This window comes from Homo sapiens, chromosome 3, assembly GCF_000001405.40.
Source record: "Homo sapiens chromosome 3, GRCh38.p14 Primary Assembly".
Taxonomy (NCBI): Eukaryota; Metazoa; Chordata; class Mammalia; order Primates; family Hominidae; genus Homo; species Homo sapiens.
The window spans coordinates 196,782,247-196,806,858 of NC_000003.12; the positions used below are offsets into that span (position 1 = coordinate 196,782,247).

General features: G+C 41.2%; 1 protein-coding gene and 1 pseudogene across 4 annotated transcripts in view, besides 1 other annotated feature; one reads left to right on the top strand and one right to left on the bottom strand.

The window, feature by feature from the left end:
- Positions 1-24,612, top strand: part of PAK2 (p21 (RAC1) activated kinase 2) — a 92,791-nt gene that overhangs the window by 42,390 nt on the left and 25,789 nt on the right. For all 4 annotated transcript variants that reach the window (NM_002577.4, XM_011512870.3, XM_047448218.1 and 1 more), the window contains exons 2-6: positions 380-587; positions 19,681-19,781; positions 20,771-20,918; positions 23,106-23,137; positions 24,333-24,440. In NM_002577.4, the coding sequence (NP_002568.2) occupies positions 401-587; positions 19,681-19,781; positions 20,771-20,918; positions 23,106-23,137; positions 24,333-24,440 (576 nt within the window). In that variant the 5' untranslated portion in view covers positions 380-400. The remainder of the gene's footprint in view (positions 1-379; positions 588-19,680; positions 19,782-20,770; positions 20,919-23,105; positions 23,138-24,332; positions 24,441-24,612) is intronic.
- On the bottom strand, positions 2,735-2,840 carry RNU6-42P (RNA, U6 small nuclear 42, pseudogene; annotated as a pseudogene).
- Positions 4,654-5,360: an enhancer, noted in NCBI's record as "H3K27ac-H3K4me1 hESC enhancer chr3:196513771-196514477 (GRCh37/hg19 assembly coordinates)". NCBI's record gives its function as "activates a minimal SCP1, AML or CMV promoter by ChIP-STARR-seq in naive H9 embryonic stem cells {active_cell/tissue: H9 hESC(naive)}" and the evidence as "EXISTENCE:reporter gene assay evidence [ECO:0000049][PMID:30033119]".

Sequence of the window (24,612 nt, forward strand, 5' to 3'; positions counted from 1 at the left end):
CCAAGATATCCTATAATTTGCTGGTCAGAACATATTTTTCCTCTTTGGAATTAAAAAAAAAAAAAAAGATTTCATGTTGTCTGTCTTTCTATTGAGAAGGTCTCTTAGAATCCATTGATTAGACCAGTAGCTTTTGGTAGTACCATGATGTTTCCATTTGACTTTTCAAACATTTTTCAGCTGACCATTACCAGCTTTGTTGGGGGTAAACTCAAGAGAGTTACATCTTTTACACATTGATTTTTCCAGATTTTGCAAATGTCACTATAAATGGATAATATTTTCTAATTGGGAGTTGTGGCAGGGGTAGTTATTACTGTTTTTTGCTTGTTCGTGCTATTTTTTACTTTGTTACTAATTGTATTTTTTCCAATTCCAGGCCATTTCATAATTCTGAATCATGTCTGATAACGGAGAACTGGAAGATAAGCCTCCAGCACCTCCTGTGCGAATGAGCAGCACCATCTTTAGCACTGGAGGCAAAGACCCTTTGTCAGCCAATCACAGTTTGAAACCTTTGCCCTCTGTTCCAGAAGAGAAAAAGCCCAGGCATAAAATCATCTCCATATTCTCAGGCACAGAGAAAGGTAAATAGCGCTTCTGGCTTTCAGAGTCTCAGCATTGGTTTATTATTGTATGTTACCCATGTTGATAACTTTTATGGTGAGAACATTAAAACAGATCATGAAAACAATCGGTGCTAATATACAGGCACTATTAAAAAGACTAGTTTATTTTAAATTGTGATTTTTAAAAGAATAAAATGTAAATTTGTTTCTCACCCTGCTTGTTATGGCCAATGAATTTCTATATTCATCTCCTTTGTTTTCTGAGACCTTGGCCATATTTTAATGAGATTTGTGACACTTGAGGGAGACCTGCTATTATAAGAATGGTGAGATAGGGCCCACAGTCCCCTGTCTGAAATCCCTGGAGCCAACTGTGTTTTGGAATTAAGAGTTTTTGTGATTCTTGAGTAGTAAATACTGTCTTTTACCAGGTGTTCTATAATGCCCTCAGAAGTGTCGGAGGCAGCCTCAGTACTCACAGACTGATGTGTCCTCAGCAAAATATATGTCTAGTTCAGGGTTTCTCAACCTCAACACTATTGACATCTTGGAGCCAAATAATTTGTTGTTGCAGGGACCTATCCCCTGGGGGCAAAATTACTCCAATTAAGAATCACTGGGCCAGACACAGTGGCTCGTGCCTGTAATCCCAGCTACTTGGGAGGCTGAGGCAGGAGAATCACTTGAATACGGGAGGTGGAGGTTACAGTGAGCCAAGATCGTGGCACCGCACTCCAGCCTGGGGAACAGGGTGAGACTCTCTCAAAAAAAAAAAAAAAAAGTGTACGTATATATATGTGTATATAAAACATCCTTGTACCTACCACCCAGCCTAGAATTTTATCAGTACCTCTGAAGTCCCCATCTGCTATACCCCATCCTAACCTTCTCTTCGTCCCCAATATCCACCATTCTGCATTTTTATTGTAATTTTATAACATATCTAGTCACCCTCAAATATGTATGGTTTAGGCATGCCTGTTTGGGAACCTTTTATGAATGGAATTATGCTGTCTGCATTTTTTCCACATACTTTTCACTCAGCTTTATGCTTTTGAGACTTGTTGATGTATGTGGTGTAGTTTGTTCACTTTCACTGCTGTGTATTGCTACACTGTAAATATACTGCAGTTTATTTGGCCAGTCTCCTATCTGTAGACATTTGGGTTGTTTTCATGAATAGTGTTGCTATGGATAATGTTGAATGTACATCTTACTGGGTGTAGGGCAAAGCTTCTCAAACTTCAGGTGATCTGTTAGTTTAGTTCTTGAATTGCTAATTAGAATCACCTGGGAAGCTTAATAAATCTGTGTTCAAACTCCATTTCATTCCAGTTGAATCAGCAATCAGCATCTTTAGGGGCTTACCCTGGCATTGTTTTTGGTTTTGTTTTTAATTTTTTTTTTCTTTTTTTTTTTTTTAATTATACTTTAAGTTTTAGGGTACATGTGCACATTGTGCAGGTTAGTTACATATGTATACATGTGCCATGCTGGTGCGCTGCACCCACTAACTCGTCATCTAGCATTAGGTATATCTCCCAATGCTATCCCTCCCCCCTCCCCCCACCCCACCACAGTCCCCAGAGTGTGATATTCCCCTTCCTGTGTCCATGTGATCTCATTGTTCAATTCCCACCTATGAGTGAGAATATGCAGTGTTTGGTTTTTTGTTCTTGCGATAGTTTACTGAGAATGATGATTTCCAATTTCATCCATGTCCCTACAAAGGACATGAACTCATCATTTTTTATGGCTGCATAGTATTCCATGGTGTATATGTGCCACATTTTCTTAATCCAGTCTATCATTGTTGGACATTTAGGTTGGTTCCAAGTCTTTGCTATTGTGAATAATGCCGCAATAAACATACGTGTGCATGTGTCTTTATAGCAGCATGATTTATAGTCATTTGGGTATATACCCAGTAATGGGATGGCTGGGTCAAATGGTATTGCTAGTTCTAGATCCCTGAGGAATCGCCACACTGACTTCCACAATGGTTGAACTAGTTTACAGTCCCACCAACAATGTAAAAGTGTTCCTATTTCTCCACATCCTCTCCAGCACCTGTTGTTTCCTGACTTTTTAATGATTGCCATTCTAACTGGTGTGAGATGGTATCTCATTGTGGTTTTGATTTGCATTTCTCTGATGGCCAGTGAAAAATATGGAACGCTTCACGAATTTGCGTGTCATCCTTGCGCAGGGGCCATGCTAATCTTCTCTGTATCGTTCGTATTTTAGTATATGTGCTGCTGAAGCGAGCACTGTTTTTAATTTTTTAAATACCCCAGATGATAATGATGTGCAGCTCATATTAAAAACCAATGCATTGGTGGGTTATGAACTCTGTATAGTGGACGACACTAAATGCGCTAGAATAATATAATCAGAGTGTTGTGCACACAGTGAAAACGTTGTCTTATGAAACAGTTTGTTTTAGTTATGTGTATACTGAGTCAGGATATAAAATGTATTTCTTGGTGTGGGTCCTGACCAAAGATTTAAAGGTCATTCAGAGATGTATATTTAGGATTAGAATTGCTGGGTTACAGGCTGTTCCCGTGTGTGACTTGACTAGGTTTGTCAGATTGTTTTCTAAAAGTTTTTAGTGTACATTCTCACCCACAGAAGATGAGCGTTCCCATTGCTGAGCACCCTCAGCAACTCTGGGAGGGGTGAAATACTAGCTCATTGTGTTTTAAATTGGCCTTTCCCTGATTACTCAAAAAACTGAGCATCTTTTCGGGTTAATTGACCATTCTTGTGTGCTTTCTGTGAAATATCTGTTCAAGAGAAAGAAATATCTGTTCACTATCTATATTAGTCTGTTTTCACACTGCTGATAAAGACATACCTGAGACTGGGTAATTTATACAAGAAAAAGGGTTTATTGGACTTACAGTTTCACATGGCTGGGGAGGCCTCACAATTATGGCGGAAGGCAAGGAGGAGCAAGTCGCGTCCTACGTGGATGACAGCAGGCAACGAGAGAGAGCTTGTGCAGGGAAACTCCCCCTTTTAAAACCAGGAGATCTTGTGAAGACCTGCCCATGATTCAGTTACCTCCTACTGGGTCTCTCCCACAACACATGAGAATTCAAGATGAGATTTGGGTGGGGACACAGCCAAACCATATCAAGGTCTTTAATCCATTTTTCTACTTGGTGGTTAGCTTTTTCGTTTTCTATTAATAAACATTCCTTGTAGTCTATACACTAATCCTTTGCCAGTTATATGATGTTAAAGATAGTATTCCAGGATGTGATTTGCCTTCTCACCCTTTCAGTAGTATATTTTAATGAATAGAAGTTATTAATTTGATATGGTGGATTTGATCAATTTCTCTTTTTTTTTTTTTTGAGATGGAGTCTCATTCTGTCACCCAGGCTGGAGTCTAGTGGCTCAATCTCAGCTCTCTGCAACCTCCGCCCCCCGGGTTCAATCAATTCTCCTGCCTCAGCCTCCCGAGTAGCTGGGATTACAGGCGCCTGCCACCGCGCCCGGCTAATTTTTGTATTTTTAGTAGAGACAGGGTTTCATCATGTTGGCCAGGCTGGTCTTGAACTTCTGACCTTGTGATCCACCTGCCTCAGCCTCCCAAAGTGCTGAGATTACAGGCGTGAGCCACCGTGCCTGTCTTCAATTTCTCTTTTTTGTGGTTCGAGCTTTTTGTTTTTTAAGAAATTTTTGTCTTACTTGAGGTCATAAAGACATTTTCCTGTATTTTTTCTATAGCTTGCCTTTTACACTTTAAATCTTTGAGCTAGCTGGATTTTATTTTTGTATATTTGTGAAAAGATTCACTTTCACTTTTTTCTTTAAACTTGGATAGTATCCCAGACCCATTTATTGAGTCTTCTATTTCCCCACTGACCTAGACCACCATTATTTGTCAGGTTTCCATGTGAGAGTCTGTTTCTGTGTTCTCTGCTTTATTCCATTAGGTTATTTGTCTGTACCTGAGCTAATAGTAGCACCCTGTCTTGATTACTATATCTTACAATCTTTTTTTTTTTTTCTTTGAGGCAGGGTCTCACTCTGTGACCCAGGCTGGAGTGCAGTGATATGTCTTGGATCATTGCAACCTCCACCTCCCAGATTCAAGTGATCCTCCTGCCTCAGCCTTCCAAGTAGTTGGGACTACAGGTGCACAACACCATGCCCAACTAATTTTTGTATTTTTTGTAGAGACAGGCTCTCATATGTTGCCCAGGCTGGTCTCAAACTCCTGAGCTCAAACGATCTGCCAGCCTTGGCCTCCCAAAGTGCTGGGATTACAGGCGCGAGCCACCACACCTGGCTCTTATATTGATTGTTAATGCCTGATGGAACAAATCTCTTAACCAGATTCTTCTTCAGAATCCTGTTAATTGCTTTGGCTTTTTGCATCTTTCTATAAATTTTAGAATCTGTTTATCATGTACTTTAACAGAAAAAAAAACCTGTGGCTACTTTGATTAGAATTGTATAGACTTTGGGCCGGGCACCGTGGCTTATGCCTGTAATCTCAGCACTTTGGGAGGCCGAGGCCGGCAGATCACGAGGTCAGGAGAGCGAGACCATCCTGGCTAACAAGGTGAAACGCCATCTCTACTAAAAATACAAAAATTAGCCAGGCATGGTGGCAGGTGCCTGTAGTCCCAGCTACTCTGGAGGCTGAGGCAGGAGAATGGTGTGGACCCGGGAGGCAGAGCTTGCAGTGAGCCTTGATTGCGCCACTGCACTCCAGCCTGGGCGACAGAGCGAGACTCCGTCTCAGAAAAAAAAAAAAAAAAAGAATTGTATAGACTTTGTAGGGCAAATAGGGGAGAATTGCATCCACCTTTGTAGCTGAGGGTGGGGAATCTGCAGAGCCTTTGTGTAGCCTGTTTACAGGGAAGTTTAGTTGCATGTCGTTTTCAGTCTCAGAGAGACAGAGATGTGTGGAATGTTTGGAGGGTAGGATGCTTCTTGATTCCTCCTGTTTCCTGGAGCTCTACCTCCCTTTCCTCTTACACTTATTGCTCCTACCTGGAAGCTGAAACACAGCCCAGTCACTGGGGCCCAGCTTTCGGCATTAGGAATGAGGGAGAACCTTGTGTGTGTTTACACATCCGTGCTTTTGTAAACATAGAAATAACCTGCTCTGTTGCTCTCACTGGATTATCCCGTTCATCACCCTAGTGGTTGCCTCTGGGTCCGCTCATTTCCACCCACCTTGCTTCTAGTTTCAGCCACCTGCAGCAGTTTGCAGAAGCATTTTCCCACTGACATCCTAACTGCTGCTTCTCTCGCTAGTCTTATGCTAATTGCTTTTCATTCTGGAGCATTCCTCGTGGATTTTATTCTGTGAAACACTCGGTTTTGGTGTAGAAGGGAGAGAACTTCAGTATGTGCTCAGTACATCATCTTGAAACAGAAGAGTCTAAAAGGCAAACAATTGTATTTCCATTTTTTAAAAATCATAATGACCTTAAGACTTTTGCCATCTCTAATGTAAGGCCTGATCTAGAGATAATTCATTTTATTCCACTAAAAAATTTACATCCCTTACTGCTTTCCTTACTAAAAAAACAGCTAATATTTTTATAAAAAGAAAATAAAGACTCTAGGATGTTTTCACTTATTAATTACTGGTTTTAATTGGTATCACCAAAAAACTCGAAAATTATCCTTTTGGATCGTGCCGTTTTAAGGCAACTTGACAGAACAGATCTTTTTTCCATGCTTGCTAATGTGTGTACTATGTGAATAATCAGAGATGAGTGATAAAGCAGATAGTGTCCCTGCTCCCACGACAGCAATCTCAAACCATGGTATAGAATTACAAGCCATGAAAAGTGGTACAGAGGCAGTGCACAACATGTGTCCAATCTGCAGTGTCTGGGAAGGCTTCCTAAGGAGGTCATAATAGAGCTGAAGACTGCAGGATGGGTAAGGGAAACGATAGTTACAAAGTGTGTTCCATGCCCGGGAAGAGCCTGTTTCAGTGGCCCACCTACAGGAGGGATCAGAGCACATCCATGGAGCTGAGTGCCGCCCGGTGTTACTGGAAAGCAGAGAGGGAAGGACAGAGAATTACAGCAGGGTGTATGTAGGCACTACAGACAGCAGAAGAGGCTGAAGAGGTAGGCAGTGACCAGGTCATAAAGGGCCTTGTATTCTATGCTACAGAGCTCACATTTTATCCTGTTTCCTGGGGAACCATTACAGATTTTTAATCAGGGGAAAGACCTGGCCATCTCTCTGTTTTAGTTAGGAGAGAATGGTAGGTATATAGAAAAAAGGTTTTGTTCGAAGTGTGAGAGTGAAGTTGGAAACTAGTTAGGAGGCTTTTGCTGTAGCCCAAGTGAGAAATGGCCTAACTAGTCTACTAGTTTAAATAATGAAAATGTCAGTGAGCCATTTGACTTTTTAAAATAAGCTTTATTCATACAGCTAGAGTTGGATGGTATTGTCTTTATTAACTAAAGCAATTTTCACATCTAGCTATTCAACCTATAAGCACCTTCACTTCTGGTTGGTTATGACTTAGATCTGTAAACAACCTTTCTGATTAAAAAAATGAATTCTGAGATTAATAATAGTAACCCATACTTCTCTGCCTATTTCCTAGAGGAGTGGTCCCCAACCTTTTTGACACTGGGGTAATGGTTTCATGGAAAACAATTTTTCTTTTTTCTTTTTTGTTTCATCTTGTTGCCCAGGCTGGAATGCAATGGCGTGGTCTCAGCTCACTGCAACCTCCGCCTCCTGGGTACAAGCAATTCCCCTGCCTCAGCCTCCCGAGTAGCTGGGACTAGAGGTGCACGCCACCACGCCCAGCTAATTTTTTTGTATTTTTAGTAGAGACAGGGTTTCACCATGTTGACCAGGCTGGTCTCGAACTCCTGACCTCAGGTGATCTGCTCACCTCAGCCTCCCAAAGTGCCGGGATTACAGGCGTGAGCCACCGTGCCTGGCCGGAAAACAATTTTTCTGTGGGGCTGACGGGGGGGTGGTTTCGGTATGAAACTCTTCCACCTCAGATCATCAGACATTAGTTAGATTCTCATAAGGAGTGTGCAGCCTAGATCCCTCTCATGCGCAGTTCACAATAGGGTTTGCGCTCCTATGGGGATCTAATGCTGCCACTGATCTGACAGGAGGTGGCGCTCAGGCGGTGGTGCTCACTCCCCACTGCTCACCTCCTGCTGTGCCACCCAGTTCCTAACCGGCCATGGACCTGTACTGGTCCACGGCCCTGGGGCTGGGGACACCTTTCCTAGAGAATTCTCTGCTGTGTCATGGAATTTGAAGCTATTACACATCAAAAGAACAAAGGAGGAATTACTTATGGTTAGACTAGAAACAGAAGAGTCTTCCTTTTAAACAGATAAAGGGTTTCTTTTATTTGTTTGTTTAGCCTTAGATGTAGCTTGAAAGCAGTCTAAAAGGTAGTGCCCTAGAGAATGTGACAGTAGCCTACTTAGGATTCTTTTCAGTACCTTTTGTCAACATGTGACTCAGGGTCTCTGCCTCTTGGCTGAAGGTTGCTGCCTGCCTGCTGCTGCTGTTTTGTTGTCTAATGAAGTTGGAAAATGATTCTAAGAATCTTTTTTTCTCCTAGGACACTAGTTAAATTGTTTATTTTATTAAAATAAGTTTTTTGCCCTGGTCTATTACTTCCCATCAAGTGATCTGGTTGCCTGGTGAACCTCCCGTAGATGGTTGTGTTTGATAAGCAGAAGTGGGAAGTTGACCTCCTTTCATTTTATGAAACATGAACAGATTTCAGATTTCTCCAAAGCTAAGGTGTAACATGTAGGGGTCCGTCCCGCAGACCCTGACCCAATGACGGATGAATAACTTACACTGACACAGATGTTATGCTTGTCAGTCCAGCTGAGAGTCCGGGCCACTTACAGACTCCCAGGAGAGTGCTGTAAAGCGTTGCAACCATCGGCCTCAACTAGCCAAGGAAGCTTGCATTTATTTAGTATAGATTAATTGACAAAGGCTTGAGTCAACACACCTGTGGGTAATTCACCTGGTCGCCCCCACCCTGGAGAGGGCCATCTTGCCCACCAATGATCAAAGGTTAGTCTTAGGACCACATGAGTAAACAAGCTCTTTAGATAAACTACTTTATATTCCTTTGTATCTGTACCTTAAGCTCTCTGGCTCCTGAAAAGAGAATCTGGCTACCTTCAGCCAAACTTTGAAGCTATGCAAAACTCCCCGGCCTTCCAAGCAGGTTTGCTTTTTTCTATTCCTATAATTTCTTCTGCCATCCTGACTGAACCCCCACATCTACATAAATTTATTGTGATTGGCCCTCTATTTCTGGGCTTCTAGAGTCGTTATATAAGAGTATTAAAGACATTCTGTTGGTATAGCAATATCTTTCCAGCACATTGTTCAATTCCAGACATGCTTTAGTATCTTTTTGTTTTAGACACTGTTTCTAATATCCTTTCCTTTTCCCATTGAGACTATTAAAATACAGAGAGTACCTGTATGTGTGTTATGTAAAAACAAATGGCATTGAACAGATTTTTAGGATTTTATGTTTATTTTGAATGATCTAATGTGGCTCTATCTCAAGTTCTGCTTAATCGTTTTTGTGTTTTTCCTTTAACTTTTTACTCTATACTCCTATCATATATGAAACTTTAATATATTTCTCTAAACTCTTAACGTTTCCAAGTTGAAGAATATGACTAGGCCTTAGACACAACAGGAACCAGGAATACTCTTGCTAGATATGTTATCTCTCACCCTTCTTTTTATATTTTTTTCTTATTTTATATTTCTTATTTCAGAATGTTTTTTCTTTATGTGTTAAGAAATATAATTCCTGGGCCGGGCGTGGTGGCTCACGCCTGTAATCCCAGCACTTTGGGAGGCCGAGGCAGGTGGATCACGAGGTCAGGAGATCAAGACCATCCTGGCTAACAAGGTGAAACCCCGTCTCTACTAAAAATACAAAAAGTTAGCCAGGCGTGGTGGCGGGCCCCTGTAGTCCCAGCTACTCGGGAGGCTGAGGCAGGAGAATGGCGGGAACCCAGGAGGCGGAGCTTGCAGTGGAGCTGTGATCGCGCCACCGCACTCCAACCTGGGCGACAGAGCGAGACTCCGTCAAAAAAAAAAAAAAAGAAATAGAATTCCTGGGCTCAGTTTCTTACAACTTCAGACACTAGTGATAGACTGATTCTCAGGGAGCCGAGTCTGGCTTAGCTGCTCAGGTGGCTGCCCCTGCACCAGTTGCTGGAGGGTGTGTGGGAAGCTGTGCTGACCTGGCTTGAGTTAGGTGCCCACCTCGGACCAGTCATCTGTGACCATAGTCGTGTAAGAAAATGGCATCTTTCCCAACTATCTGCATAGAGGAAAGGTGAGGGAAGTTTCCAAAAGTAGGATGCTGAGCAGATTTTTTTAAAAGAAAGAACACATATAATCATAGTACATTAAATTGTAAACTACTAGTTTATCGTTAACTAATAAATAATTTCTCCTGTATGTAGGGTATTCCGTTAGAAGCCAAGGGACATAAAGAAATGTTGAGTGCACGACCTCAAATTACTCAAAGTCTAGTGAAAATTGAGAGAGAGGTAATTTATGATAGACGTATTAATAATTGTGTTTCAGTAAAGAGAATCCAGGCTTAACAGTTTCCTTTCCCTCTGCTCCTGTCCATAACCAGCATTCCCTTCCCTCTCACTGTGACCAGATCTCTTTTAAGTTACATGCCTAGAGAGGAGATGGACATTTGAGCATAAATCCCTCATTACTAGTTAAATAAGTATTATTGTGTTTCCTACCAATACTAAACTAGTAGTATCTTTGTAAACAAAGAAGAGCATACGGTAACATTTCCAGTCTTATATGTATAGACTTATCAAACAGCATGATTTTTAACTCTTTGATATTAGAAGAATCTTCTGGTTAAACACAGCATGTTGACCACATACAGAAGCATTCTATTTACTCTCCCTCCCAAGACCCAACTAAAATGACAGAAAAAAATATATATATATACACACACACACACACGGTCAAAGAGAAAAAGAGAGGAGACAGTATTGTGAAAGAGGCTTCAGTACACATTTGGAAGGCAGAAGTGGTGGAAAATTGGCACCTGACTCAGCAGGACAGAGAAACACATAACCTAAGCGTTTGCAGAGGGGAATCTGTGAGAAGGGAAACAAGTTTCCCTTGTAGAAATTCTGGAAGCTCAAGATTTAGAGGCACACGACACTGTGTCGGAGTGGGGGTAGGATGCACTACACATGCTGAGGAGAAGGGGGATTAGTTGAAAATCAACATCGAAAGTGTCAAAGGCCCCCCAGGACTCCTCCTTTACACCCCACACATCCATGTAAGTGTTATCCCCATCCTCCGGAAGGAAAAAAGAATAAACTGGGATTTACATTTATTTCCAGAGAATTTAAACCACAGAAGCCTCTGTTCTTATCAGGGGAGTCAGGAAAAGTTGAAGCACCAGAATAAAGCAGGTGACTTCATGCAAGTCAGCATTTTCAACTCCTTTCCCCATCCTGCTTTCAGAATACCTGCAGCCTGACTCACAGCCTCAGACAGGAGATTGGAAGATTTTTCTCTGGATAAACAATGGCCTGGGGAAAAAAATACTTTAGGTACCTTGCATGCATGCTGTCCTTATCTTTAGTGTTAAGGTTGGCTTAACTCCCAGTTAGCTTTTTAATACTTTCTATATGAGTAGACAGTACAGGATCACCCGACATTTATGAAAAACCCTTTATAAATGAGAGGGAGAGTCCAAAACAATAGGGATAAAAACAGGAACTTAAAAGAAATAGACAGTGTAAGGAGAAAAAAAACCCCAAACTGCAGCCTGTGCATACACACATACTGTATAATCGTCAAAGAGAGGAGATAGAGGAATCCATGAAACAAGAAAAGAGTTCGCAGAGAAAGAATGATCAGAGAACAATGGAAAACAGTTCTTGGAATATCAACATTTAAAATTACCAAAACAAACAAAAGATAGCAATAGAAAGAAGAGTGGAAGATAATCAAGAAAATTCTCCCTGCTGGAGCGGTGGCTCACACCTGTAATCCCAGCACTTTGGGAAGCCAAGGTGGGTGGATCACTTGAGATCAGAAGTTCGAAACCAGCCTGGTCAACATGGTGAAATCCCATCTCTACTAAAAATACAAAAATTAGCTGGGCTCGGTGGCGTACACCTGTAATCCCAGCTACTCAGGAGGCTGAGGCAGGAGAATCACTTGAACCTGGGAGGCGGAGGTTGCAGTGAGCCAAGATTGCGCCATTGCACTCCAGCCTGGGCAACAGTGCAAGACTCTGTCTCAAATAAAAAAAGAAAAGAAAATTCTCTCAAAGAATTAAACAGAAATACAAAGATGGAAAATATGAGAGAAAAGATAACAGTTAAAAGATCTGACTAATGACAATTAAGTGGAGGACATAGTGACTTCTAGCTCTAAAATGGTGGTGTAGAAGCACACTGGCTTCACTCACTCTGCCCTGCCACCACAGAAAACCAAGAACATACAGCACTAAGATGATCACCAGCAACATCCAAGAACTCAGATATGAGAAGGAGACAGTTCCCAGGGGCACAGAGAAATGAAAGAACTCCAGGCATGCTGTAAGAATCGGACTTCCGTATCTGCAACACCCGTTCCCCCTGTCCGCCTGGCGCCAAGTGTGGGAAAATCTCCCCCAATTCACAGTGTCTACACAGGAAAAAGTGAGATTGAAGAAGACAGCCACCTTCTCCACCATCTTGGGTTCCCTGGCAGGAGGCCTGTCCCTGCCTTAGCCCACAGGTGGCATAGGGAGAGCTACCCTGAGGACAGCCAGAGGCAGAGGAGGGAGGCGGGATTACTGTTCCCAGCCTTGGAAACCCTGCTGTATAACTCAGCCAAAGGGGATGCCAAATAGAGCAGCTGTTCAGCAACACCATGTTGTAGGAGGTTTATTCCACAGGACCCTTGGCAGGAACCCTGAGCCACCCTTCCTGTACTGCTACCAGAATATCCCCTTGGGGACTCCTCTCTCCCATTTAGGATGGGCTGCACTCTGCTAGAACCCAGGCAAACCTGGGCTTATGGTGCCATTTAGTGCTGGAAAGGAGGCAGCAACCTAGGCTCGGGGGTGAGGAAAAGAAAGAAAATCAACAGGTAAATTACAGAGACTCTCTAAGCAAACATATCCAATAAAAACCAGACTAAATATCCTCATACTTCTTTGAAAAATGGCTTAAAATTTTCCAAATTTAATGAAAACTGTAAACCCACAGATTCAAGAAATTTAACAACATTTGAGCATAGGAAACATGAAAACTACACCAAGGCTTACTGTAATCAAATTGTTTAAAACCAGTGTTAGGGCTGGGCACAGTGGCTCATGCCTCCAATCCTAGGATTTTGGGAGGCCAGTGTGGGAGGATCACTTGAGCCCAGGAGTTCAAGACCAGCCTGGGCAACATGGCAAAATCCCATCTCTACAAAAAAAAAAAAAGAAAAAAAGAAAAATTATCTGGGCAGGGTGGTGTGCACCTGTACTCCCAGGACTTGGTAGGCTGAGGCAGGAGGATTGCTTGAGCCCAGAGGTTGAGGCCGCAGTGAGCTGAGATCGCACCACTGCACTCCGGCCTGGGTGTCAGAGCGAGACCCTGTTTCAAACCAAAAACAACAACAACAACAAAAACACAGTGATAGAGAAAATTTTAAAAGCTACCAGAAAAAAAATGAAAGACTCATTATATATATAGGACGAAGATAGAGTGATCCCAGACTTTATTTAAGTAACAGTGCAAGCCAGAAGACAAGGGACAACATCTTTAAAGTATTTAAAGGGAAAAAAATCTATCAGCCTAGAATTCTATACTATTGAAAGTGTCTTTCCAAAACAAAGGAGGACACAGAATTTTAAATGCGTAAAAGCTGAACGAGTGTATCGTCAGCAGACAGACTACAAAAAATGTTAAACTAAGCCCTTCAGGCAGAAGGAAGGTGATGTCAGATGGAAATGTGGACTCACAGGAAAGAATGAAAAGCACTGGATGTGGCACCTCCGTGGTTCTGGACCTTTTTGGCACCCGGGATTGGTTTCGCGGAAGGTAGTTTTTCCACAGACCCAGTGGTGCGGGGGAATGGTTTCGAGATGAAACTGTTCCATCTGAGGTCATCAGACATTAGATTCTCATAAGAAGCGCACAACCTGGATCCCTCGCGTGTGCAGTCCACAGTAGGGCTCACGCTATGCGGTCCAACGCGGCTGCTGATCTGACAGGAGGCGGAGCTCGGGCGGTGATGCTCACTCACCTGCCACTCAGTTCCTGCCGTGCAGCCGGTTCCTAACAAGCCTCGGACTCTGGTACCAGTTTGTGGCCTGGGGGCTGGGGACCCTTGTGGTATGCGTTCTTTCTTATCTAAATTTCTTTGAAAGATAATTGTTTTGAGTTTTTAAGAAAACAAAGCACTGATACACCTTGTAACATGGATGAATCCCAAAAACATTAAGTAACAAAAGTCATTCGCAAAAGACTGCATATTGTTTGGTCCCATTTATATTAATGAGCAGAACAGGCAAAAGCTATGGAGACAAAGTAGATTGGTGGTTGCCTGAGGTTTGGGGTGGGGCAAGGGCTGAAATGGGGAGTCATTGCCATTAGGTGCAAGGTTTCTTCTGGGTATGATAAAAATGTTCTAAAGTTAGATTGTGATTATGATTGCACAACTCTAAATATACTAAAACCCATTGAAGTGTACAATTTCAACAGGTGAACATGATAGTATATGAAGAGTTCTAGCTTAAGAAACAACTGAGTAGATAAAAGGGAATCTCAAAATACTTAGTCCAGAAGAAGGCAGAAAAGATTGATAAAAACAGACCTACCTACAAGAAATCTACTTTAAAACATAAAGCCACAAAATAGGCCAAAATGAAAGGATACAAAAAGGTGTGTTAACAATTAAAAGAAACCTGGACTGGCTGTATAAACAGCAGACAAACTAGAGTTTAGAGCTAAAAAATACTATCAGTGATAATAAGGAAGGTTGTTATTTCGTGATAATAGGACCAGTTCATTAAGATGATATAATAGAACTAAATATTTATGTACCTAATAACAGCTTCAAAATTCACAAAGCAAAAACTGAGAGGATTTCAAGAAGAAACAGACAAATTCAATTATAATCGGAGATTCCAAAACTTCTCTCAGTAATTGGTAGAAAAAGTAGACATAAAATCGCTAAGGATATAAAAAATTTGAACGTAACTATCAGCCAACTTGACCTAATAGACGTTTATAGAACACTCCACACAATAACAGTAGAATATACATTCTCTTTAAAGACACATGAGGTCTACTTTTAAAAATTCTCAAAAATGTTGGCCAGGCACGGTGGCTCATACCTGCAATCTCAGCACTTTGTGAGGCTGAGGCGGGCAGATCACTTGAGGTCAGGAGTTCGAGACCGGCCTGGCCAACATGGTGAAACCGTCTTTACTAATTATACAAAAATTAGCTGGGCGTGGTGGCAGGCGCATATAATCCCAGCTACTTGGGAGACTGAGGCAGGAGAATCGTTTGAACCTGGGAGGCAGAGGCTGCAGTGAGCTGAGGTTGCGCCACTGCACACCAGCCTGGGCGACAGAGCGAGACTCCCTCTCAAAATAATAGGCTGGGCGCAGTGGCTCATGCCTGTAATCCCAGCACTTTGCGAGGCCGAAGTGGGTGGATCATGAGGTCAGGAGATCAAGACCAACCTGACCAACATGGTGAAACCCTGTCTCTACTAAAAATACAAAAATTAGCCAGGCGTGGTCGTGGGCACCTGTAATCCCAGCTACTTGGGAGGCTGAGGCATAGAATTGCTTGAACCCAGGAGGCGGAGGTTGCAGTGAACCAAGATTGTGCCACTGCACTCCAGCCTGGGCAACAAAGCAAGACTCTGTCTCAAAAAAAAATAAAATAAATAAAGGATTTAAATTATATAAAGTGTGTTCTTGTGATCATAATATAATTCAATTAGAAATCAGTCACAAGAAGGTCTCTGGAAATATTTGGAAAGTAAAGAAAGCACTTCACAAATAAAAAGATATTTAGAAAATATATTAAGCCGAATGAAAATTCAAAACATCAATATTTGTAGGATACTGCTAAAGCAGTACTTAGTGGAAAACTTATAGTATTAAACACCATATTAGAAGAAAAGATTTTAAATCAATGACTTTAGCTAAGCCATCTTAATAAACTAGAAGGGAAGAGCAGATGAAATCCAAAGTAAGTAGAAGAAAGGAAATAATAAAAAGCAAAATGGGAATAAATGAAATAGGGGGAAAAAGCAGCAGAGAAAATCACTGCAACCAAAAGTAGATTCATTTAGAATGTCAATAAAATGGATAAACCTATAGCCAGACTGACAGGGGGCAGTGGATGGGGAGGAGAGACACATTACCAATATTGAGAATGAGAGAGGTGGTGGCACCCCTACAGATTTTACAGATATTAAAAAGATGGTATGAACAAATATGTACCAACTTTTTTTTCTTTTCTCTTTTTTTTTTTGGAGAAGGAGTCTTGCTTTGTTGCCCAGGCTGGAGTACAGTGGTGCGATCTTGGCTCACTGCAACTGCCACCTCCCAGGTTCAAGTGATTCTCCTGCCTCAGCCTCCCTAGTAGGTGGGATTATAGGCATGCATCACCACGCCCGGCTAATTATTGTATTTTTAGTAGAGACGAGACTTCACCATGTTGGCCAAGCTGGTCTTGAACTCCTTAGCTCAAGTGATCCCTCTGCCTCAGCCTCCCAAAGTGCTAGGATTATAGGCATGAGCCACTGTGCCTGGCCAATGTTAAATTCTTAGCAAGATTTTAGCAGTTGGAATCCAGCAGTGTATAAAAAGGGTAATACATCATGACCAAGTGGATTTCGTTGGTTTAAGTTTGAAAATCGATGGATGTTATTTACTGTATTAACACAATAGAAAGGATGAGCCATGGGTTTGTCTCAATACATGGAGAAAAGGCATTTGACGGAACCCAGTATCCATTGCTGATAGAAGTGTTCAGCAAACTTGGAATAGAAGAGAATGCCCTTTAGCCTCATAAAGGACATCTTTTAAAAACCTACCATTGGCATTAAACTTAAGGGTAAAAAGAATGACAGTTTTTCCTCTTAGATCAGGAAAAATAAAATTTCTCTTCATCCACTTTTATTCAACAATGTACTGAAGGGTCTAGCTAATGTAGTAAGGCAAAAAAAAATTTTTTTTAAGAAAACGAATAAAAGGAATCCAGATTGGAAAGAAGTAAACTTGATTTTATTCACCGACAACATGATTGAATTTTTGTAGCAAAATTGTATATTTACAAAAATACTAGTGGAAGTAAGTGTAATAAGGTTTCAGGATATAAGATTAGTATTCAAGAAACAACTGTGTTTCTTTATGGCTGCAATGAATGATTAAAAAGGGAATTTTAAAACTGCCATTTGCAATAGTATCAAAACCAGGAAATACCGAGGCAGAAATCTGATGAAACAGTGTGCGCTCTGCACTGATAACTACTGCTCTGTTTCTAAGTGTCCCCCAGAGTTCATGTGTTAGAAACTGAAGCCCCAGTAAGAGAGTGTTGAGACATGGGACCTTCAAGAGGCGACGCGAGTGCTCACGGATGGACTCATGTCTTTATTGTGGATGCGAGTTGCTTATAAAAGCCAGTTTGGCCCTCTCCTGCTCTCTTTCTTGCAATGTGATGCCTTCGGCTACGTTATGACACAACAAGAAGGACCCTCACCAGGTGTGGCTTCTTGGTCCTTGACCTGGAGGACTTTCCAGCCTCCAGGAGAACTGTGAGCCAAATGAACTTTTATTTTTTTGAGGCAGTCTCACGCTGTGACTCAGGCTGGGGAGTGCAGTGACACAATCTCGGCTCACTGCAGCCTCCACCTCCTGGGTTCAAGCAATTCTTGTGCCGCTATACTCGGCTGAAGTTTGCATTTTAGATACAGTGTTTTGCCATGTTGGCCAGATGGGTCTTGAACTCCTGGCCTTATGTGATCTGCCCACCTCAGTCTCCCAAAGTGCCAGGATTACAGGCATGAGCTACTGCTCGCAGCCAGCTTCTAATGTTTATATTAATCAATTGCATAGGCAGTGGTATTCTGATAAAGCGTACCGAACGGATGAAGACAACTGCAAACACTGCTGAGAGAAATTTTTAAAGACCTAAATAAATGAAAAGATTTGCTGTTTTCATGGATCAGAAAACTCGGTGTTGTTAAGAAATCAAGAAATAAATTCTCAGCCAGGTGCAGTGGCTCATGTCTGTAATCCCAGCACTTTGGCAAGCCAAAGCAGATGGATCGCTTGAGGCCAGGAGTTTGAGACCAGCCTGGCCAACATGGTGAAACCCCATCTCTACCAGAAATTATAAAAATCAGCCTGGTATGATGGTGCATGCCTGTAATCCCAGCTCCTCAGGAGGCTGAGGTAGGAGAATTGCTTGAACCCGGGAGGCAGAGGTTGCAGTGAGCTGAGATCACGCCACTGCACTCCAGCCTGGGCGACAGAATGAGACTCCCTGTTAAAAAAGAAAAAGAAAGAAAGAAAGAAATTCTCCTTAAAATTCATCTGTATGTACATTCATTCCAATTCTAGTCAGAATTCCAACAGGCTTTCTGTAGAAATTAATAAGCTTATTCTAAAATTAATAGGGAAATGCAGAGGACCTCGATTACCCAAACAGCTTTGACAAAAGAAAAAGAAGACTTATGTGACATAGTTTCAATGCGTATTACAAAATGGCAATAAAATAATCAAGGCAGTCTGATAGTGGCATAAAGGCAGACAAACAGATAATTGCAACAGAGCAGAGCCTTCAGAGATAGACTCACACGTGTACAGACAATTGACTTTCAACAGTGGCTCCAAACAGGAACCAAAATGGCGCTGGCCTTCTAAATGGCAACACTGGAAATGCTGAGGGTTCCAACTTATATATATATAAAATTAGTGAAGAACTATCACTAAAGGGATAAATCAAGAGGAAAACGTAAGATCCAGAAAATAGATTCCAGCACATACAGGGCAGGAGTGAAGGGATGTCATGGACGGTAACTGCAGGAAGCGTAGGCATGAGCTACTGCAGATTAGAGCAGGAGGAGCTGAGAGGGAGGGGGTAGGGGGAAGGAACTGATGTGTTGGAGTTCACAGAGAACATTATTGATAGGTGTGTGGCAGAAATGTTGCAGAAATAATTTACAATCGGACCATAGAAAAACTGCATAGTTTTAAAATGTGGCAATTAGTAACTCCACTAAAAAAGGATTATGCTTGCACAAAAAAGGAGAGGTGGTTTTGTCAACTACTTGTCTTGACAGTGTGTATTATCTGCGGAGTCACAGTAATGCAAATCTGACTTCCTGATGAATGTAGCTGAGTGGAAATGGGGTTTGCTGTGTTTGCTGTCCACATTGCTCAGCATCTGAGATGTAGCCCTTTGTGAGAGAGCTGGTGCCCGAAGGGGGTGTCTCTTCTGCCTGTGCTCTGTTACTCAGGCCTGCCGTTGGTCACTCCATGTGCCTCCTCAGTGTTTGGTTGTGTCCAGCCCTACTCTATGGCAGGACAGTCTGCTTTACTTCATTTACTAGTTTCCTATCAGCCAGTTTTTAGGGGAAATCTTTTCTAGAATAACTTTGATTCTAGTGTGTTTTCTAGAATAACTTTGATCCTAATATGTTTTAGGAAAAATATAAACATAATATGCCGGGCATGCGGTGGCTCACATCTGTAATCTCAGCACTTTGGGAGGCCAAGGCAGGTGGATCAGGAGTTTGAGACCAGCCTGATCAACATGATGAAACCCTGTCTCTACTAAAAATACAAAAATTAGCCGGGCATGGTGGTGGGCACCTGTAATCCCAGCTACTTGGGAGACTGAGGCAGGAGGATGGCTTGAACCCGGGAAGCAGAGGTTGCAGTCAGCTGAGATTGCACCACTGCACTCCAGCCTGGGCAACAAGAGCGAAACTCCATTTAAAAAAACAAAAGACAAAAAATAAAATTATAAGTGCCTTTACTAGTCTTGTTTAAATAGGCTGATTCTTTCTCTTTTTTTCTAATGCCCCCTAGGAAGTAAAAAGAAAGAAAAGGAACGGCCAGAAATTTCTCCTCCATCTGATTTTGAGCACACCATCCATGTTGGCTTTGATGCTGTTACTGGAGAATTCACTGTAAGTTAACCTAGTTCGGGCCCATTTATAACGTTTAAAATAGCACTCAAACATTTTCCTTCATTATTAAATTTGAAATTAACATTTCAGGCCAGGTGCGGTGGCACACGCCTGTAATCCCAGCACTTTGGGAGGCCAAGGCTGGCAGATCATTTGAGGTCAGGAGTTCGAGACCAGTGTGGCCAACATGGTGAAACCCCATCCCTACTAAAAATACAAGAAAATTAGCCAAGCGTGGGGGTGTATGCCTGTAATTCCAACTACTCAGGAGGCTGAGGCAGGGGAATCATTTGAACCTCGGAGATGGAGGTTGCAGTGAACAGAGACTGTGCCATTGCACTCCAGCCTGGGCAAGAAGAGTGAAACTCCGTCTCAAAAAAAGGGAAATTAACATTTCTATCTATACGTTAACTATGAATTCTTACTGCTTTTTGCTTTTTATAAAAGTGTTAGTGGTTGGATATATCGTTTTCCTAGAGAGCAGAGCCTATTAATTATAGTTATGCAAAACAGACTTAGAAAAAATAGACCTAGGCCGGGCGCGGTGGCTCACGCCTGTGTAATCCCAGCACTTTGGGAGGCCGAGGCGGGTGGATCACGAGGTCAGGAGATTGAAACTATCCTGGCTAACATGGTGAAACCCCGTCTCTACTAAAAATACAAAAAATTAGCCAGGCGTGGTGGCGGGCACCTGTAGTCCCAGCCACTCTGGAGGCTGAGGCAGGAGAATGGCCTGAACCCGGGAGGTGGAGCTTGCAGTGAGCCGAGATCTCGCACGACTGCACTCCAGCCTGGGTGACAGAGTGAGACTCTGTCTCAAAAAAAGAAAAAAGAAAAAATAGACCTTTAGAAAATGAGATCTTTTAAAATTTACTCAAACCTACACTCAAAAGATTGGTTTGTTTTGTGTATTTTGTCATTTATCTCTGGAAATTAATTTTATTGCATCAATTTAAACCATAACTAATTTCTGAATATCTTCTTGTTAGGGCATGCCAGAACAGTGGGCTCGATTACTACAGACCTCCAATATCACCAAACTAGAGCAAAAGAAGAATCCTCAGGCTGTGCTGGATGTCCTAAAGTTCTACGACTCCAACACAGTGAAGCAGAAATATCTGAGCTTTACTCCTCCTGGTAAGAGAGTGGCATAAGGCTGGATCAGATGGAGATTTGTGAAGCACTTCTAGATAAAAAGATTACTCCTGGAAAAATGAAAAGCTAAACTATGGTTCTTGTTGATAACGGTTTTTCCCTGGATAGATTCTACCTTTTGTAGACTGATCCAGGGCAGTTCTGAAGCATAATTTGGATCTGTGAATTATAGTAATCTCATAGGTTTGCCAGAAACGGGAGTTGATGGATATTTTGGCTTTTTGTTTATTTGGTTTTTTCTCCTCATTGCTGTGTTTTTGTTTTCATTTTTCACTCTTCACTGCTTTTAAATGACTTCCAGCAATCAAAGGAAAAGACGCTGGTTGATAGACATGTTCATACTAGAAACACATTTATTGTTAGCGGGACAAGAGGAGGTTGAACTAAAAAATGTTTAGGTCCACTCAAAAAATTGAAACTCGCAAGTGTGCAGATAATAGAATATATGTATTTTAATATATAAAACAGATAAATCATATACGAAAGAAGCGTTAGAACTAAAAGGATTTATACCTCAGAAATGGAATATCTGGAATATCATCTACATAGTCACAGTAATGCAAATTTTACTTTCTGGATGAATATAGCTGGATGGAAATGGGGTTTGATGTACTTTGTTTTCCAAGTTGCTCAGTATCTGAGATATACCGTTAACCTATGAGAGAACCAGTGAATTGGTATATAGTGTAAGAGTTGGTGTAGTGGATTTTTAAAAATAGTTTTTGTTCAAATAAAGATCAGAATAAAGTTCATACAACGCAGTTGGTTGATACATCTCTTGAATCTCTTTTGATCTTTAGGCTTCCCCTCCCACACACTGGTTCATGCTGTCTTTTCTTGACGTTTATTTATTACAGAAACAAGATCATTTGTCCTGTTTCCCTCAGTTTAGATTTTGCTCACTACATCCTCAGGATGTCATTTTTCAATATGTTTGTCTGTCTCTGAAGTCATACATGTGGTTTTCAAAAGCAATATGATGGAGCTAAAATCGTACATGTGGTTTTAATTGATTTTACTTACTGTTTGCATCCTCACAGAAACAAAGGCCATGTGCAAGGGAGAAATAGAAATCTTTTTCAAGTGATCTTGACCTTTTTTTGTTGAGTCTAGTACACCGTTAGGAAAAGGTCACACTTGCTCCTAGAACTTTTCTATCAACCAGTAAGTCTGTGTGTAAATTAGTAATTTTTTTGAAAAACCAATGTTTGACCACAAAATGGTAGCTTATTTTCACCTAGTACACATACATACATATATGTGTGTGCGCACGCGCGTGCGTGTGTGTGTTTTGTTTTGTTTTTGAGCTGGAGTTTACTCTGTTGCCCAGGCTGGAGTGCAGTGGCACAATCTCGGCTTGCCAGAACCCCCGCCTCCCGGGTTCAAGCAATTCTCCTGCCTCAGCCTCCTGAGTAGCTGAGATTACAAGCATGCGCCGCCACACCTGGCTAATTTTGTATTTTTAGTAGAGACTGGGTTTCTCCATGTTGGTCAGGCTGGTCTTGAACTCCCAACCTCAGGTGATCTGCCTGTCTCTCGGCCTCCCAAAGTGCTAGGATTACAGGCATGAGCCACCGCGCCCGGCCTGTGCGTATGTAATATGTGATATGTGTGTGTGTGTGTGATATATATATATATATATACACATATATATATATATATACACACACACATATACACACACACACACATATATGTATGTCTCTGGGCATTTTTAAAAGAAAAACAAAACAATGTCAGAATTTTACTTTGCACAATTGTCATTGTCTTAATTGTTGCATTAAGTTCCTCAGTCAGCAGTTTTCTGGAGAAAGTATCTTTATCAATAAATTTGTTTTGTTTTAATAAATACAGATTGATAGGTATACTTTCAAACTAAATTTTGATAGCTTTATTGAGGTATAATTTACATGCAATACAATTCACCCATTTTAAATATATAATTCACTGATTTTTACTAAATTTATAGTTTCATGTAGATTTCAGATTTCTTACCTTGGTCTTATATAAATTCTTATTTGACTACTTGCGTGTTCATTTTTCTCAAGAGTTAATTCAACTTGAAATCAGTTTAAGAACATTTCACTTTCTCTGCTTTTTTTTTTTCCTTTTATCATATAAAAGTGCTGTTTCTTGAATTGCTAATGTTATGTTTTGTTTCATATTCAGAGAAAGATGGCTTTCCTTCTGGAACACCAGCAGTAAGTTAATTATATTATTTCTTGTATCTCTTGTTCTAATTTAGGTTACCCAAGACAAATCTCAGTTTTTATTTTGCTTTCTAAAATAAATTACAGCCATCAGAGGTAAATAACTACTCAATAGGTGTTTTTAGCTAGCCACCTGATTAGTTGAAGAAGCCGTATTAAATAGAAATTCCTTGATGTGATACTTAATGTAACTAAAATTTATAATGACCTTCAGAACAGTTTAGTTAGTTTTGGTAATGTTAACATATACAAACGTGAACACAAAGAACTTGCTAGCATATATTTTCCTCTCCATCCCTCAGTTTTCCTTCTGGTACTATTTTACTGAATATAGACTGTGGAAAGGTGCTGAACAGTTGAACCTTGTCAGTCTTCAGAGTCATCTGAAACTTAAGTTATCGCATAAACACAGTCAGTTTTTGGAAACAGTCGTTTTATTTGCAGTTTCTCAATTGGGAGGAAACAGTCTCCTGGAGTTTTATTTTTTTATATTTTATTTTATTTTATTTATTTATTTATTTTATTTTTATTTTTTTTGAGTTAGAGTCTCGCTCTGTCGCCCAGGCTGGAGTGCAGTGGCGCAATCTTGGCTCACTGCACGCACCGTCTTCTGGGTTCACTCCATTCTCCTGCCTCAGCCTCCCGAGTAGCTGGGACTACAGGCGCCTGCCACCACGACCAGCTAATTTTTTGTGTTTTTAGTAGAGACGGGGTTTTACCGTGTTAGCCAGGATGGTCTTGATCTCCTGACCTTGTGATCCACCCACCTCGGCCTCCCAAAGTGCTGGGATTACAGACGTGAGCCACCATGCCCGGCCCCAAATCTGACTGTTTTAAATGTCACCAGATGTCTCTGACATAACAAAGCCCAGAGGATCTTTGATTTTGGTCTTAACAAGTAACATTGTTTACTTTCAGGACATTGTATATGTATGCTTAGGGTAACTTTATTAAAATATTTGGTACTCACCATATATATATATTTCATAAACTTTTTCATGATTCATAGAATCGCCTTATTATGTTAGATTATAATTCTATTGAGTTATCTAAGAGCTAATGAGATTTAGTGGTTTTGAAATGAGCTATCAAAGAAGCAAACTTTTTGAAGTACGTTCATAAAGGGCGATAGTCGCATTTAAGCCTATTGGACTTGTTTTCCTTACTTTGCTCATCATCAATGCAGCTGAATGCCAAGGGAACAGAAGCACCCGCAGTAGTGACAGAGGAGGAGGATGATGATGAAGAGACTGCTCCTCCCGTTATTGCCCCGCGACCGGATCATACGAAATCAGTGAGTCTCCATCGGTGATCTAGGCTGTGTGTGTGCACGTGTGTTTTAAAAAATAGCAGAGTTTGTATTTGACTTTCAGTGATTGCTTTTAAAAAGCCCTCAAGTTTAAAATCGTTTAGTATGGGGAAATTTAACCAAGAAATCTGTACCCAAAGACCACTCACCTAAAACT